General features: G+C 40.4%; 1 protein-coding gene across 10 annotated transcripts in view; it reads left to right on the top strand.

Moving 5' to 3' along the window:
• Nucleotides 1-14,904, top strand: part of COL25A1 (collagen type XXV alpha 1 chain) — a 493,934-nt gene that overhangs the window by 287,843 nt on the left and 191,187 nt on the right. For 9 of the 10 annotated variants that reach the window (NR_045756.3, XM_011532335.3, XM_011532334.3 and 6 more), the window contains one exon: nucleotides 4,441-4,458. The exons of the other annotated variant lie outside the window; for it this stretch is intronic. Coding sequence is in view for 8 of the 9 variants with exons in the window: in XM_011532335.3 (XP_011530637.1) it covers nucleotides 4,441-4,458 (18 nt within the window). In the remaining variant the exon portion in view is untranslated. The remainder of the gene's footprint in view (nucleotides 1-4,440; nucleotides 4,459-14,904) is intronic. 10 annotated transcript variants of the gene reach the window in all.

Below are 14,904 nucleotides of genomic sequence, written 5' to 3'. Positions count from 1 at the left end.
TGGGAAGCGTCTCTATCAACCACTTCCTCTTTTCCCTCCTTTTCATGTTCCCTCCCCCAACACACACACCATACATCCCTGAAATTCATATTACATGTTAGAGTAATCTGAGTTCTTTAGTGCTATAAATTCTTCAATGCCTATATAGATGTCAGTTTTTAGTAGTAAACAGTCATTTATGGCTGTTTGTTCTATCACTAACATAAAATCCATAATGCAATGTATATTTTATATAATAACATATAAGTGTATGCACACATTGTGCCATATCATTTGGTCAGTATAATGGCAGGAATGCGACGTATTAAAGATGGACAGGAAAAGTCTGTCACTTGTAGAACCACCAGAGGAGTCTGAAAATATCACAACTATACTAAACAAATTTTTCATTTGAAGAAGTTCTTCCTGATTTTAGAGAATCCTGCATTTTAACTTTCACATAACACATATAAGAGATGCAATATATTCTGGGATTCTATAAAATATTCATGTTTACACTTTTTTTTTTTGAGACAGAGTGTCACTCTATAACTGAGGCTAGAGTACAGTGGCACAGTCTCAGCTCACTGCAACCTCTGCCCCCCGGACTCAAGTGATTCTCTCACCTCAGCCTCCCAAGTAGGTGGAATTACAGGTGCGTGCCACCACGCCCAGCTAATTTTTGTATTTTTAGTAGAGACGGGGTTTCACCATATTTGCCAGGCTAGTCTCAAACCCCTGACCTCAAGTGAACCGCCCACCTCGGCCTCCCAAAGTGCTGGAATTACAGGCATGAGCCACCACACCCAGCCACATGTTCACATTTCTGAGTTTGCAGTAGTTCAAAACATCAGAAAGACCAAAAGCTTAAAGCTGAGGGGGGTTGGTGGGGTGGGGGAGGAGTGCACAAGAGTGACCACATGTTTGTAATTTTGTGTCTGAAATTGGTGGGCTCTTGGTCTCACTGACTTCAAGAATGAAGCCACGGATTCTCATGGTGAGTGTTACAGTTCTTAAAGATGGTGTGTCCGGAGTTTGTTCCTTCTGATGTTCGGACGTGCTTAGAGTTTCTTCCTTCGGTTGGGTTCGTGGTCTCGCTGGCTTCGGGAGTGAAGCTGCAGACCTTCCCGGTGAGTGTTAACAGCTCTTAAGGTGGCGCGTCTGGAGTTGTTCATTCCTTCCGTTCAGAGTTGTTCATTCCTCCTGGTGGGTTTGTGGTCTCGCTGGCCTCAGGAGTGAAGCTGCAGACCTTCGTGGTGAGTGTTACAGCTCATAAAGGCAGTGTGGACCCAAAGAGTGAGCAGCAGCAAGATTTATTGCAAAGAGTGAAAGAACAAAGCCTACACAGTGTGGAAGGGGACTCGAGCAAGTTGCTGCTGCTGGCTCAGGCAGCCTGCTTTTATTCTCTTATCTGGCCCCACCCACATCCTGCTGATTGGCCCATTTTACAGAGAGCTGACTGGTCCATTTTTGACAGGGTGCTGATTGGTGCGTTTACAATCCCTGAGCTAGAAACAGAGTGCTGATTGGTGTATTTACAATCCTCTAGCTAGATGTAAAAGTTCTCCAAGTCCCCACTAGATTAGCTAGACACAGAGCACTGATTGGTGCATTTACAAACCTTGAGCTAGACACAGAGCACTGATTGGTGCGTTTACAAACTTTGAGCTAGACACAGAGCACTGATTGGTGCGTTTACAAACTTTGAGCTAGACACAGAGTGCTGATTGGTGCATTTACAATCCTTTAGCTAGACGTAAAAGTTCAAGTCCCTACCAGATTAGCTAGATACAGAGTGCTGATTGGTGCATCCACGAACCCTGAGCTAGACACAGAGTGCTGATTGGTGCATATACAATCCTCTGCATAGACATAAAAGTTCTCCAAGTTCCCACCTGACTCAGGAGCCCAGCTGGCTTCGCCTAGTGGATCGCACCAGGGCTGCTGGCGGAGCTGCCCTCCATTTCCATGCCACGCGCCTGCACTCCTCAGCCCTTGGGCTGTCGATGGGACTGGGTGCTGCGGAGCAGGGGGCGGCACCCGTCAGGGAGGCTGGGGCCACATGGGAGCCCACTGCAGAGGGGCTCAGGCATGGCAGGCTGCAGGTCCTGAGCCCTGCCCGGCGGAGAGGCGGCTGAGGCCCGGTGAGAATTCAAGCGTGGTGCGGGCGGGCCAGCAGTGCCGGGGGACCTGGCGCCCCCTCTGCAGCTGCTGGCCCAGGTGCTAAGCCCCTTACTGCCCAGGGCTGGCACCGCCGGCTGGCCGGCCGCTCCAAGTGTGGGCCCGCCAAGCCCGCGCCCACCTGGAACTCGCGCTGGCCCACGAGCGCTGCACGCAGCCCAAGTTCCTGCCCGCGCCTCTCCCTCCACACCTCCCCGCAAGCAGAGGGAGCCAGCTCCGGCCTTGGCCAGCCCAGACAGGGGCTCCCACAGTGCAGTGGCGGGCTGAAGGGCTCCTCAAGCGTAGCCAGAGCGAACGCCAAGGCCGAGGAAGTGCTGAGAGTGAGCAAGGGCTGCTAGCACGTTGTCACCTCTCAATTTCACCCAGTACATGGATCTGGAAAGATCCATAGTTACATATAAGTGGTTCTTGGGAGAAAACCTTTGTAGCCAGCCTAGGCAACATAGCAAGACCTCAAAAAAATTTTTTTAATAAAGTTAGCGGGGCATAGTGGCATGTGCCTGTAGTCCCAGGTACTTGGGAGGCTGAAGTCAAAGGATCACTTGAGCCTGGGAGTTCAAGACTGTGGTGAGCCATGATTGTGCCACTACACTCCTGCCTGGGCAACAGAGTGAGACCCTATAACAAATGAACAAACAAAAAACCTTCATAGTGTCTCCATAGAAATCTTCTCTACGTTTAGTGCTGATTTTAGAGCTATTACCCTCAAGAAGCTTTGCTGAACTGGCTTCTGTATACGTATCAGTTGCAGGTAGGAATGCCTACTGGTCCTAGGTATGCTTCTGGAAGCAAAGATTCATGCTGTGGCAGTCCTGGAGTGGTTGGCAAGTTGAGAGTGTTAAGCACTTGAAGAATGCTCTTGTACCATAGTTGATCTGAACAAGTCTGTATGTAAATGTCAGCTTAAACTTCTAGGCCGAAAGGCAGAGTGACCTGGTAGAAAATGCATAAACCTTAAAATCAGATTTGGGTTTAAATTCTGGCTTTTCTATAAATTTATATAAGTTGTGACCTTTAGCTTATTTCTCTGAGCCTCAGTTTCTCCATCTGAAAAATTCAGGGCAGTTATAAGAAATAAATATAATAGCATATCCCAAAGTGTCTGGCACTTGGTAAGGAATTAATAAATGTTATTCTCTTTCTCTCTCTCTCCACCACTGGAGAGTACAGGAGTGGGGTGAGTAACATCTGCAGTGACTTGGTTTGGCTCCCCTTCCTAGTTTGACCTGCCAACTACATTTTCAGGCAAAGTTCTTGGAAATCATCTGTTCTATCCCCAGTGAGTTAGAGAACAAGTACCTAAGGAAATTGCAAGCCTGGAGAGAGGCTAAGAGAGACAGTTCCTGGGCCTTCTCTGGGAGTTGTATTAGCTCCACACTTTCCTGTGTGATACTTGGTGCCACACAGCTGAGACAATGACACTACACATTATTTATTTACTTTTTAAGATTTCTTAACTCAGTGTGAACATTTTCTTTAATCTCATCTGATACAAAATCCAGTTGGAGATTTTAAGAAGGTGATATGAAATCCATACTTTTATTCACAGGTGATTGATCTTTAGCTAGAAGCATTTACAGTTATACTGCTTTGAAATTTTTGATCAGCTTAAATAAGAAAATGACATTCAAAATAAATTAGATTGGACAGAGGTCACATAATCCATTGACTGTGTGAAGAGTTAGGATGCATGATCCAAAGACCTCTGATATCCTTTTAAAATGTCCTTAGGCTCAGTTATGCAGAATAAAAGATAAAGGTTTATTTTTTAAATTAACTTAAAATGTTATTGAAATAATGAGAAGTTAAGAGACTTGATGAGCTCTAACACTAAAGTATCTGCCTTTGTTTTTTTAAAACGTAACTCTGTCATGTTTGAATATGTAGCTCACAGTCTGCGCTTTGAATAGCTCATAGTTTGGGCTCACAGCCTATGCTGCAAGACTCTTTCTTTAAGTAACCCCTTCATCACAGTAATACTAGGTGTGGTATTCCTTCTGCCTTCTCTTTTTCCAATTAAATTTTAGAGCATGCTAAAACCCTAGGGTCATTTTGGAGTTAAATAGACTATAATATCAGGATTTTAGATAAATAGCATAAAGTAAAACTAGCAGGATGTGATATGATTTTTTAAAGCCACAAGTGAAATCTGTCAGTAGTTAGGATATTATCTTCAGAAATATTTGTGAATATTTCCAGAACTAGTTTCAGTTTTGGTAGTGAAAATATTCACTTAGGATACAATTTTGTAATTGTTTTTCTTTTTCTTTTTAATTTCAGGGACAGCCTGGTCCTCAGGTAAGGTAATTCTTTTCTAGCAAATTATTTTCAATTTAGGATTTTCCCAGTGTGGAGGTCTTTCTGCAATTCTTTCAAAAGATATAAAAAAGCTATGAACTGATAATCACAACACCACACAGTAGACCAAATATTTCCCAGGAGTAAACCCTTGGGGCCTCTTCAGGGTTGTGTGAGCCACATCAGCTGTTGGGCCAGATGGCAGATTTAACAATGTACTATCATATAAAGCAAAACTCTTAACTGATCTGAAACAGTGCCACAGGACTGTAATGTAAGACAGCATGACATAAAAGTCGAGTATGAACTGGTTTGCATTATGTACTGATTAATCATGTACTAATAATGTTGTTGTGAATCCCTGCAGACTCTGATTATTTAGACTGTGATCCTACTAGCTACTTTTGATTCATTATAGACAGATATTGAATTTTTAATTTAGAAACAACTGCCGAAGACATGATTTATAATTAAGCATGAATGCGGTCAACAGAAAATCTTATTGAGCCCATATTGAAGAAAATGAGCAAATTTTAGGAAGGGGAGGAATGTGGCATGAAGATGGAAATACAAAAAAATACGTGAGTTTTCAGAAATGAAAAGTCAGTACGAGAAACTCAACAAACAACAAATTCAATATCAATACTAATTATAATCCCTAGGATTCTATAGAGAAGAAAATGCAGTTATTAATGTTTTACTTTTAATACTGTAGTGCCTATAAATAATATAATTATTTACTGAACTCATCTTCCATCTCTTTACCCTTGATGTACTGAATGTTATTTCTGCCTTAGATTGTTTCACAAATAAGCCATTTTCATGATAGTTTTGTAGTCAATATCATGAATTATCTATTGTGTACTCCACCTCATACCAGATCATAAGAATATTATTTATGCTTTTTATGATCTCTGTATATAGATGTCTAATGAAGCAAAACATTCCACATACTTCAGTAAACAAGTTCTTTTCACACCAAGCTTATGAGAAAGTTTTGACTTTTAATTAACTTATATTGATATCTGAAAATACCTATATTCTCATTATTTGTGATTTTCACTCTTGTATTCCATGTTGGTTCAAGGCAATTATTAATGGAATAAAACCCACGGAAGAAAGTTATAGCTTGTTTGCTAAATTTGAAATGGCCATATTACAATGGAATGAAGACAAAGTAAAAGATGCTTCGCATAGTTTCTTTTGTTTTTTGTTTTGTTTTGTTTTGTTTTTTCTGAGACGGAGTCTTGCTCTGTTGCCCAGGCTGGAGTGCAATGGTGCAGTTTCGGCTCACTGCAACTTCCGCCTCCCGGGTTCAAGTGATTCTCCTGTCTCAGCCACCCAAGTAGCTGGGATTACAGGCCACCTGCCACCATGCCTGGCTAATTTTTGTATTTTTAGTGGAGATGAGGTTTCACCATGTTGGCCAGGCTGGTCTTGAACTCCACTCCTGACCTCAGGTGATCTACCCACCTTGGCCTCCCAAAATGCTGGGATTACAGGCATAAGCCACCGTACTCAGCTTGCATGCTTTCTTTTATTTGATGCTTACAACAGCCTTGGAAAGTATTATTATCCTACGTGTGTGTGTGTGTGTGTGTGCGCGCGCATGTATGTGTATAAACATACAGAAACAGAAGAGATAAATTACTCACATGAATGACACCATAAACTGGGAGGTTAACTGAAGTCTGTCTCTAAAACCCTCATACCTTGTAGTGCTCAGCCCTTGAAAGAAGGTGGTGAGACAGCAGATGATAAAAGAAGTTGATGAGTTGGTTTTGAGAGATTGTAATCTTTAACATATTTTAATTTTTAATAGGACCTCTGTCTTAGCTGGACCTTCTTTCCCACATCCCAAAGCATTTCTTAAGAATTTGAGCATAAATAACTTATTTGAGAGATGATCCTAGAAAGCATCGTGAGAGAGTGGAGAAATGACACAGGGAAGGCAACAAAACCAAAAAATGGATGCCTCAATTAGCAAGTTTCTGCTGTGGACAAATGGGGCTCAATCCTGCTGAGGAATCTTGAGAGACTATGTAGAGCATGTCCCAGAATCATCCCAAAGAGGGACAAGGAAGTTGATGGATTTATCCACTAAGTTCCCTGCCTTTACTGTTGACGTTCACAGCTGGATGTTGGCTTTTCAGCACTCCTGGCCTGCTGTGAAAGGAATTTAGGAAGCCAGAGGGACATATGGGACCTGTATTCTAGCACTGTCTTGGAGCAGATAGTGGTGGGCAGGCACCTACATCTGCCACAACATCCAAGTGCTCGTGTCTTATAGACAAGACAGAGTAGAAAATTCAGATATGAATAGAAAGACTTGGGAAATTAAATATAAAGGCAGCATTAAATGCATAGTAGTTAATAAGATACTAAAGAGAGTAACTGTAAAAAGAAACACAGTCATAGTAAATCTTGAGTATACAGCCACAGTTAATAAACAGAAGAAAGATCATAAACCAGCACTGGAAACCAAGAATGGACAGGACCAGGAGAACCGTGGATGATGGTGGCTAAGAATGAACGTATATCATGGCACTTCAGAACACCTTCACATCAGGTCCTATATTTACTATGGCTCTGCAGAAACATAGTCTACCTAACTGCCTATGCTGGAAAATGTTGAAAATTTGCAAGGAGGCTGGGACCAGCATTTTCAAATGGTCCCATTAGAAACCTGCTCTGGTTTCCTTTGTTTTGGCTACCAGTTTGCCTTTAGTGGATGTGAAATCTCATGATCATTTAGTTTAAAATGTCTTCCTCACATCACAGCAAAAGGAAGTCAATAAATTGAGGAAGGATAGGTATTAGGGAAAACGTGAAGCCAAGACATACCCTCACGTGATCTTTCTACAGCACAAAAAAGGAGCGAAGAGTTGTTGTTGTGTCCCCAAGGAAAAGTCTGGCCTACCTCTTATGCCTACATCATTATCATAATATTTTTCCAAAATCTACTACATGTATCATTTCTAAGTGCTCATATTTATGATACTTCCATTGTTAGATTTGAAATTAAATAGCACTTAATGAAGTTTTGCATTTGGTGCTTGATGGTCATTAGCTTTTCTCTGATATTTTTAAAATTATAGATGAATTTTATATAGGCTCCTATCCATCTGTATATTTTGTTTTCCCCATTACCTATTGTAATGTGTTACTTTCCTAACCCCTGCTCTGCTCTTGGGAAATTTTCTTTTACAAAAAAAGTGGACCTTAAACTGACTTTTTAAAAATTACTCTTCAGCAAAATGGGTTTTATTTATTTTTATTTATCTTCAACTTTTATTTTAAGTTCAGGGTTACATATGCAGGATGTGCAGGTTTGTTACACAGGTAAACGTGTGTCATGGTGGTTTACAGCACAGATCGTCTGATCACCCAGGTATTAAGCCCAGAATCCATTAGCTATTCTTCCCGATGCTCTTTCTTCCCCCAAGCCCCCACAGGTGCCCAATGTGTGTTGCTCCCCACAATGAGTCCATGTGTTCTCATCAGTCAGTTGCCACTTATAAATGAGAACATGCGGTGTTTGGTTTTCTGTTCCTTAAATAGGCTTTCAACCACAAAACAAATTTTATCTATCATAAATATGAGCACTTAGAAATGATACATGTAGTAGATTTGATTATCAATATGTGCAGCAGAGTTTTTGTATTTTATAAAATTAAATCTTACATTAACACCTTACTATGAGCCTACTTTTTCTTTGAGTAAATTTGCATAAACTGTACATTAAATCTGTTTAACATAGATCTATAAGGTACATGCAGTGTATTAATAAGTAATATGCATTTAAAACCCAAATTAGAGACTGAACACGGTGGCTCACACCTGTAATCCCAACACTTTGGGAGGCCAAGGCAGGCAGATCACTTGAGGTCAGGTGTTTGAGACCAGCCTGGCCAAAATGGTAAAACCCTGTCTCTCCTAAAAATACCAAAAAAAAAAAAAAAAAAAAAAAAAAAAAAAATTAGCTGGGTGTGGCAGTGCACACCTATAACCCTAGCTACTAGGGAGGCTGAGGCAGGAGAACCGCTTGAACCTGAGATGGAGGTTGCAGTGAGCCAAGATAGCTCCACTGGACTCCAGCCTGGGCAACAGAGTGAGACCCACCCGCCACCCCCCCACAAAATTAGAAGCTTGTTATGGGTTTTTAAGTTGTTGAAAGCTTTCTTTTATTTGATCAAATTTTTCTTAAAATTTCCATGTTCTGTTTACTTGGCTCACTGAAAATGATCCTTTTCACATACAGTATATGTCTAGTAACAGGAACTTGAAATTTTGATTATCTTCTTTTTCTTTTTTCCTCTTCTTTTTGTTGACTCAAAATGATACCTACTTTTTTTCTTAAAATGTCAACCCTTTTGATTTCTTTGATTTTATAAGATTTTGACCTAAAATGTCAAAATTTGTTTTTTGTTATTTATGTACAATTCAACATAACTGGCCTGATAATTCTGTTCCTCTCCAGCTCTGGGTCTCCCTAGCACATGCTGTTAGCTCTGGGAAAATGGAAGGGTATGGACACTGCAAAACTTCTTCTTTCACTCCCTGTCTTCTTTTGCAGCTAGTTAAGGAAGACAGCTTGTCATCTGTGCAAGGTTTCTACAAACAAATTCTCCCTTAGCCAACCCTTAAACCCACATTTCCCACCCCTGTCTGAGTCATGACCGTGTCATTCAGACTCTTCTAATCTACACTTCTGACTTTCAATGGATTTTTCATTAAGACACTATTACTAATAATGGTCTACTTCTATTATACTATGGGGATATGTTTTAGGTACTTTAGGAATAGGCTTTTGTGGATTAGGCTGGGAAAATAAACCATATTCATATTGTGATTCCTACAGGAAGATCTAATTAGGTTTCCAAACAAAATACTTCCCCCAAAAAAGGGTTGTAAATGTTTAAGTTGGGGGATTGATATGGTTTAGATCTGTGTTCCCACTCAATCTCATGTGAATTGTAATTCCCAATGTTGGAGGTGTGGCCTGATGGGAGGTGATTGGATCATAGGGGTGAATATTTCATGAATGGTTTAGCACCACAACCTTGGTGCTGTTCTTCTGACTAGTTCTCATAAGATCTAGTTGTTTAAAAATGTGTGTAGCAACTCCCTGCCACCTCTCTCTTGCTGCTGCTCTGACCTTGTGAAGTGCTGGCTCCCCCTTTGCCTTATACCATGATTGGCAAGGAAGCTTCCTGAGGCCTCCCCCAGAAGCAGAAGTTGCTATGCTTCCTGTGCAGCCTGCAGAATTGTGAGCCAGTTAAGCCTGTTTTCTTTGTAAATTACTTAGTCTCAGGTATTTCTTTACAGCAGTGCAAGAATGGACTAATATAGGGATTGGGCATCCTTTAAAGTTTATTAAAAGACTTGGACAGAATTGTAATTAACTTGTTTTTCCCGTGCAAATGTTTACATCAGTGAGAATTGTCTCGCATAGGCTGAACATTCTCTTTGTTAAGCTGTTCTTGCATCGTTATAAATAAATACATGAAACTGGTAATTTATAAACAGAAGAGATATAACTGGCTCACGGTACTGCAGGCTTTACAGGAAGCATAGTGCTGGCATCTGCTCAGCTTCTAGGGAAGTCTTAGGAAGCTTACAATCATAGTGGAAGGCAAAGGGGGAGCAGGCACGTCACATGGCAAAAGCAGGAGAGAGAGAGAGAAGGTGCCACACACTTTTCAACACCCAGATCTTGTGAGAATTTACTATCTTGAGGACAGCACCAAGAGGATGCTAAATCATTCATGAGAAATCCACCCCCATGATCCAGTCACCTCCCACCAGGCTCTACCTCCAACTCTAGGGATTACATTTCAACAAGAGATTTGGGCGGGGGCAAATATCCAAACTCTGTCGTTCCCACATCATCTTATTCATAGTATTTATATTATACAGTGCAAAACTCCTCCTTAGAGAGTTAAAAAAAAAAAACACAAACCTCAATTCTACTTCTATATCACATGTTATTTTGTAAAGCCTTCCAGATTACTAAGGTTTTATTTTGCAGACTGATGGTAAAAAGGGAAACTGTCTATTATTCAGTGAGTGGTTCTGATCGTCTTCCTAAAGCTGAAGACAGCGTAGATTGTTAAGAATTGCTGGGACTAGAAAGCTAAATGGCAACAAACTCTTTTACAGTCATAGGATGAAATTAAATAAGAAAGGAGACCTTAGGGAAGAGAGGTGAGTCTTTGCATTTACCTAAATGGGTGAGAAAATGGTTCTTGACAAGGGAAATGAGATGGTGAAAGGGTATTAGAATGAAAAAAAATTAAAAAAGCAATTCTCACAGCTGTGGTTAAGATGGAAAAAGGGCCAGGGAAATGAAGAGAGAGGATGTTGCTGTGAATCTCCTGAATCAAGGGAAATAAAACTCTTGGAGAGGAAAAGAAAGGGAATAAAGTAAATAATGTCACAGCAACTTGGAAAAATAACAAGTAACAACAGAGGGTAAAGGCAGAAAGAAGAAAGGGAAATGAAAGAAAAGGCAGATGAGCATTTATATTTCGTTTTTTTGTTTTTGTTTTTGTTTTTGAGATGGAGTCTCGCTCTGTTGCCCAGGCTGGAGTGCAATGGCGCGATCTTGGCTCACTGCAACCCTGCCTCCCGGGTTCAAACTATTCTCATGTGTCAGCCTCCAGAGTAGCTGGGATTATAGGCGTCCGCCACCACGCCAGGCTACCTTTTGTATTTTTAGTAGAGACTGGGTTTCACCATGTTGGTCAGGTTGGTCTCGAACTCCTGACCTCAGGTGATCCACCTGCCTTGGCCTCCTGAAGTGCTGGGATTACAGGCGTGAGCCACCATGCCCGGCCTTTTATATTTCAAACTAGAAGTAATGAGAATTATTTAAGGGTAAGGCTAAATTTATTGAAATGAAAGTTACCCTGACATTTGTTCATTAATTCATATTAACATAATTCAATTAACTACTCAACAAGTATTATTTAGCCCCTATATATAAGGTACAATGTGCAAGGCACAATAAGGCAGTGTAATTGTGGTGGATAAGCAGACCCAGTCTCTGTTCTTGTGGTAGTTCTGGTTTTTTTAATTTTAAAAATTGTATAAATTTGTTTAAGTTCTATGTAGATTCTGGATATTAAACCTTTGTCAGATGGATAGATTGCAAAAGTTTTCTCCCATTCTGTAGGTTGCCTGTTTACTCTGATGATAGTTTCTTTTGCTATGCAGAAGCTCTTAGTTTAATTAGGTCCCATTTGTCAATTTTGGATTTTGTTGCAATTGCTTTTGGAGCCATCATTCTCAGCAAACTAACACAGGAGCAGAAAAGCAAATGTCCTCACCACATGTCCTCACTCATAAGTGGGAGTTGAGCAATGAGAACACATGGACACAGGTTGGGGAACATCACACACTGCAACCTGTCAGGGGTCAGGGGCAAGGAGAGGGAGAGCATTAGGACAAATACCTAATGCATGCGGGGCTTAAAACCTAGATAATGGGTTGATAGGTGCAGCAAACCACCATGGCAGATGCATACCTGTGTAACAAACCTGCAAGTTCTGCATATGTATCCCAAAACTTAAAGTAAAACAAAAAAAAAATGTATCTATATTTTTATTTAAAACTACTTAGTAGACAAATAAAGACTGAATATACTCAAGATGTACAGTGTAATGATTTCACATACATATACATTGTGCAATATTATAACAATCAAATTAACGTATTTTTCACCACCCATGTTGTATATTCAATCCTCAGAACTTGTTCATCTTGTAACTGAAAATTTGTACCCTTTTACCAACATCTCCCCATTTCTGCCACCCTCCAGCCTTTGTTCTATGCTTCTATGAGTTTGACCTCTTTAGATTTCACATATAAATTAGATTATAAAATATTTATATTTCTGTGTCTGGTTTATTTCACTTAGCACAATGTCATCCAGGTTTATCCATGTTGTTGCAAATGGCAGGGTAGTCTTTTTTGTGGCTAAATAATATTCCATTGTGTATGTATACCACAGTTTCTTTACCTGTTCATCAGCTAATAGACATTTAGGTTGATTCCATATCTTGACTATTGTGAGAAATGCTGCAATGAACACGTGCATGCAGATATCTCTTCAACATACTGATTTCACTTCCTTCAGATATATACCCAGCTGTGGGATTGCTAGGTCCTATGGTAGTAGTTCTATTTTAATTTTTTGAGAAACCTCTATACAATTCTCCATGATGGTTATACTAATTGACATCCCTACCAACCGTGTACGAGGATTCCCTTTGCTCTACATCCTTACCAACACTTGTTATCTTTTGTCTTTTTTACAATAGCCATTCTGACAGGTGTGAGGTGATAACTCACTATGGTTTGATTTTCATTTCCTTGATGATTAGTGATGTGGAGCACCTTTTCATATCCCTGTTGGCCCTAGGTATATCTTCTTTGGAAAAATGTCACATCTCTTGTGATAGTACTTTTAATATTATCAATAATAGTCTATAAAGTGTCAGAGTTCTCAAATGTTCAGACCCATCCCTTCCAAGGATGACTTTAACCTCACCTGCAAATCCTGCTCTGGCTAATCTCCACCTGCACATCTGGGTAATCTCCAGGTTCAATGGAGACCTTAAACATGAGGCATTTAAATAGGCCCTTTTCCAACATGCAGGTGACTCAGGATCAATACTGTTATCCTAAGAATGGTCCTAGAGTCATGCCTTAGTTCTCTGATAATTGAGTTTCTGCTCAGATTCAAAAACCCTTGTTCTGGAACTAAGTCATTTCCTGGATCCTCAACTCTGCATTCCCTTTCTACCTTATACTCTTCATCCCAGTTCTCCTTTCCCTTTCCTCATTACTGACAGGTATTCAAGTCACAGTACTAATACTTTGTGCAGCTTTGCCAATGGCAGACTGAACAGTTAAAACCCTCTAGCTCACTGCCTACCTGACAGGATCTCAGATGCCTACCTGACAGGATCTCAGATGCCTGTTTCTTTTAACTGTGGTTTCCCCATTGCCATTCTGCACGCTGCGAAGATATGCCTGTTGTCTGGCCACTCATTGCTGCAGGGAGGCAAGTCAGGAAAGTGAGTAGTTAGCTTTTTTTCTGTATCTGTAGTGCAGGCATTTAGGATTGAGTGTACTATCAACCACTAGTATCCTAATACAATTATATATCATAGTTCTGATTATGTCACTCTTCTGACCTCAAAACCTTGAGTCTTAATGGTTTTCATTTAGAATACAATAGAATCTAGATTCTTGCTTGACATTCAAATCCTCTTATCTGGCCTGTTTTCTAGCCTAATCTCCCATTAATTTTTCATTAATGCCCTTTCTAGACTATGCTTCACCAAACCAAATCAAACCATTTACTTCTTTTCTCTTCAAATCTTCTTTTTCTTTTTGCCTTTTCTTCCAGTAGCCTTTCCTCCGAATCCTTAGACACACTCAGTTTCCACACATCCAAATAGGATACCCCTTCGTATTTGAATGCTGCTTCTTCTATTAAGAAGTCTTTACTCTCCCTTAACTAAATGTAATTTCTCCCTTTTTCTGAATCCTGACAAAGTGTTATGTGTATAGTTTTTTCTTTTTTTTTTTTTTTTTTTTTTTTTGACAGAGTCTCACTCTGTTGCCCAGGCTGGAGTGCAGTGGCACAATATCGGCTCACTGCAACCTTTGCCTCCGGGGTTAAAATTATTCTCCTGCCTCAGCCTCCTGAGTAGCTGGGATTACAGGTTTGTGCCATCATGCCCAGCTAATTTTTGTATCTTTAGTAGAGATGGGGCTTCACCATGTTGGCCAGGCTGGTCTCAAACTCCTGACCTCAGGTGATCCTCCTGCCTCAGCCTCCCAAAGTGCTGGGATTACAGGCATGAGCCACCAAGTCTGGCACTTTTTATATAACACTTTACAATTAAAATAGAGGGGCATGGACTTTGGTCAGACAGATTACATAATTCAAATCCCAGCTTTACCACTGACAAACTATCTATCTTTGGCAAGTTACTCAATCACGCTAGTCTCATTTTCCTCATCTGTACAGCAGAGATAATTATGTCTTATCTCAACAGTGTGAGGACTGAAATAATATATGTAAGATGTCTAATGTGGTGCCTAGTCCATAGCAATCACTCAGTGAATATTAATTTCCTTCCTCCAGTTTCCTCTTTAAATTGTATTATAATTATTCATGAACACTTTTTTCCTTTCTCTCTTTTTTTTGCAGAGCTTTTTTTTATTGTTATACTTTAAGTTCTAGGGCACATGTGTACAATGTGCAGGTTTGTTACATAGGTATACATGTGCCATGTTAGTTTGATATACTCATCAACTTGTCATTTACATTAGGTATTTCTCCTAATGATATCCCTCCCCCAGGCCCCCACCCCACAACAGGCCCCGGTGTGTGATGTTCTCTGCCCTGTGTCCATGTGTTCTTGTTGT

This window comes from Homo sapiens, chromosome 4, assembly GCF_000001405.40.
Source record: "Homo sapiens chromosome 4, GRCh38.p14 Primary Assembly".
NCBI classification, from domain to species: Eukaryota; Metazoa; Chordata; class Mammalia; order Primates; family Hominidae; genus Homo; species Homo sapiens.
This window is presented reverse-complemented; position numbering and strand designations above follow the sequence as displayed.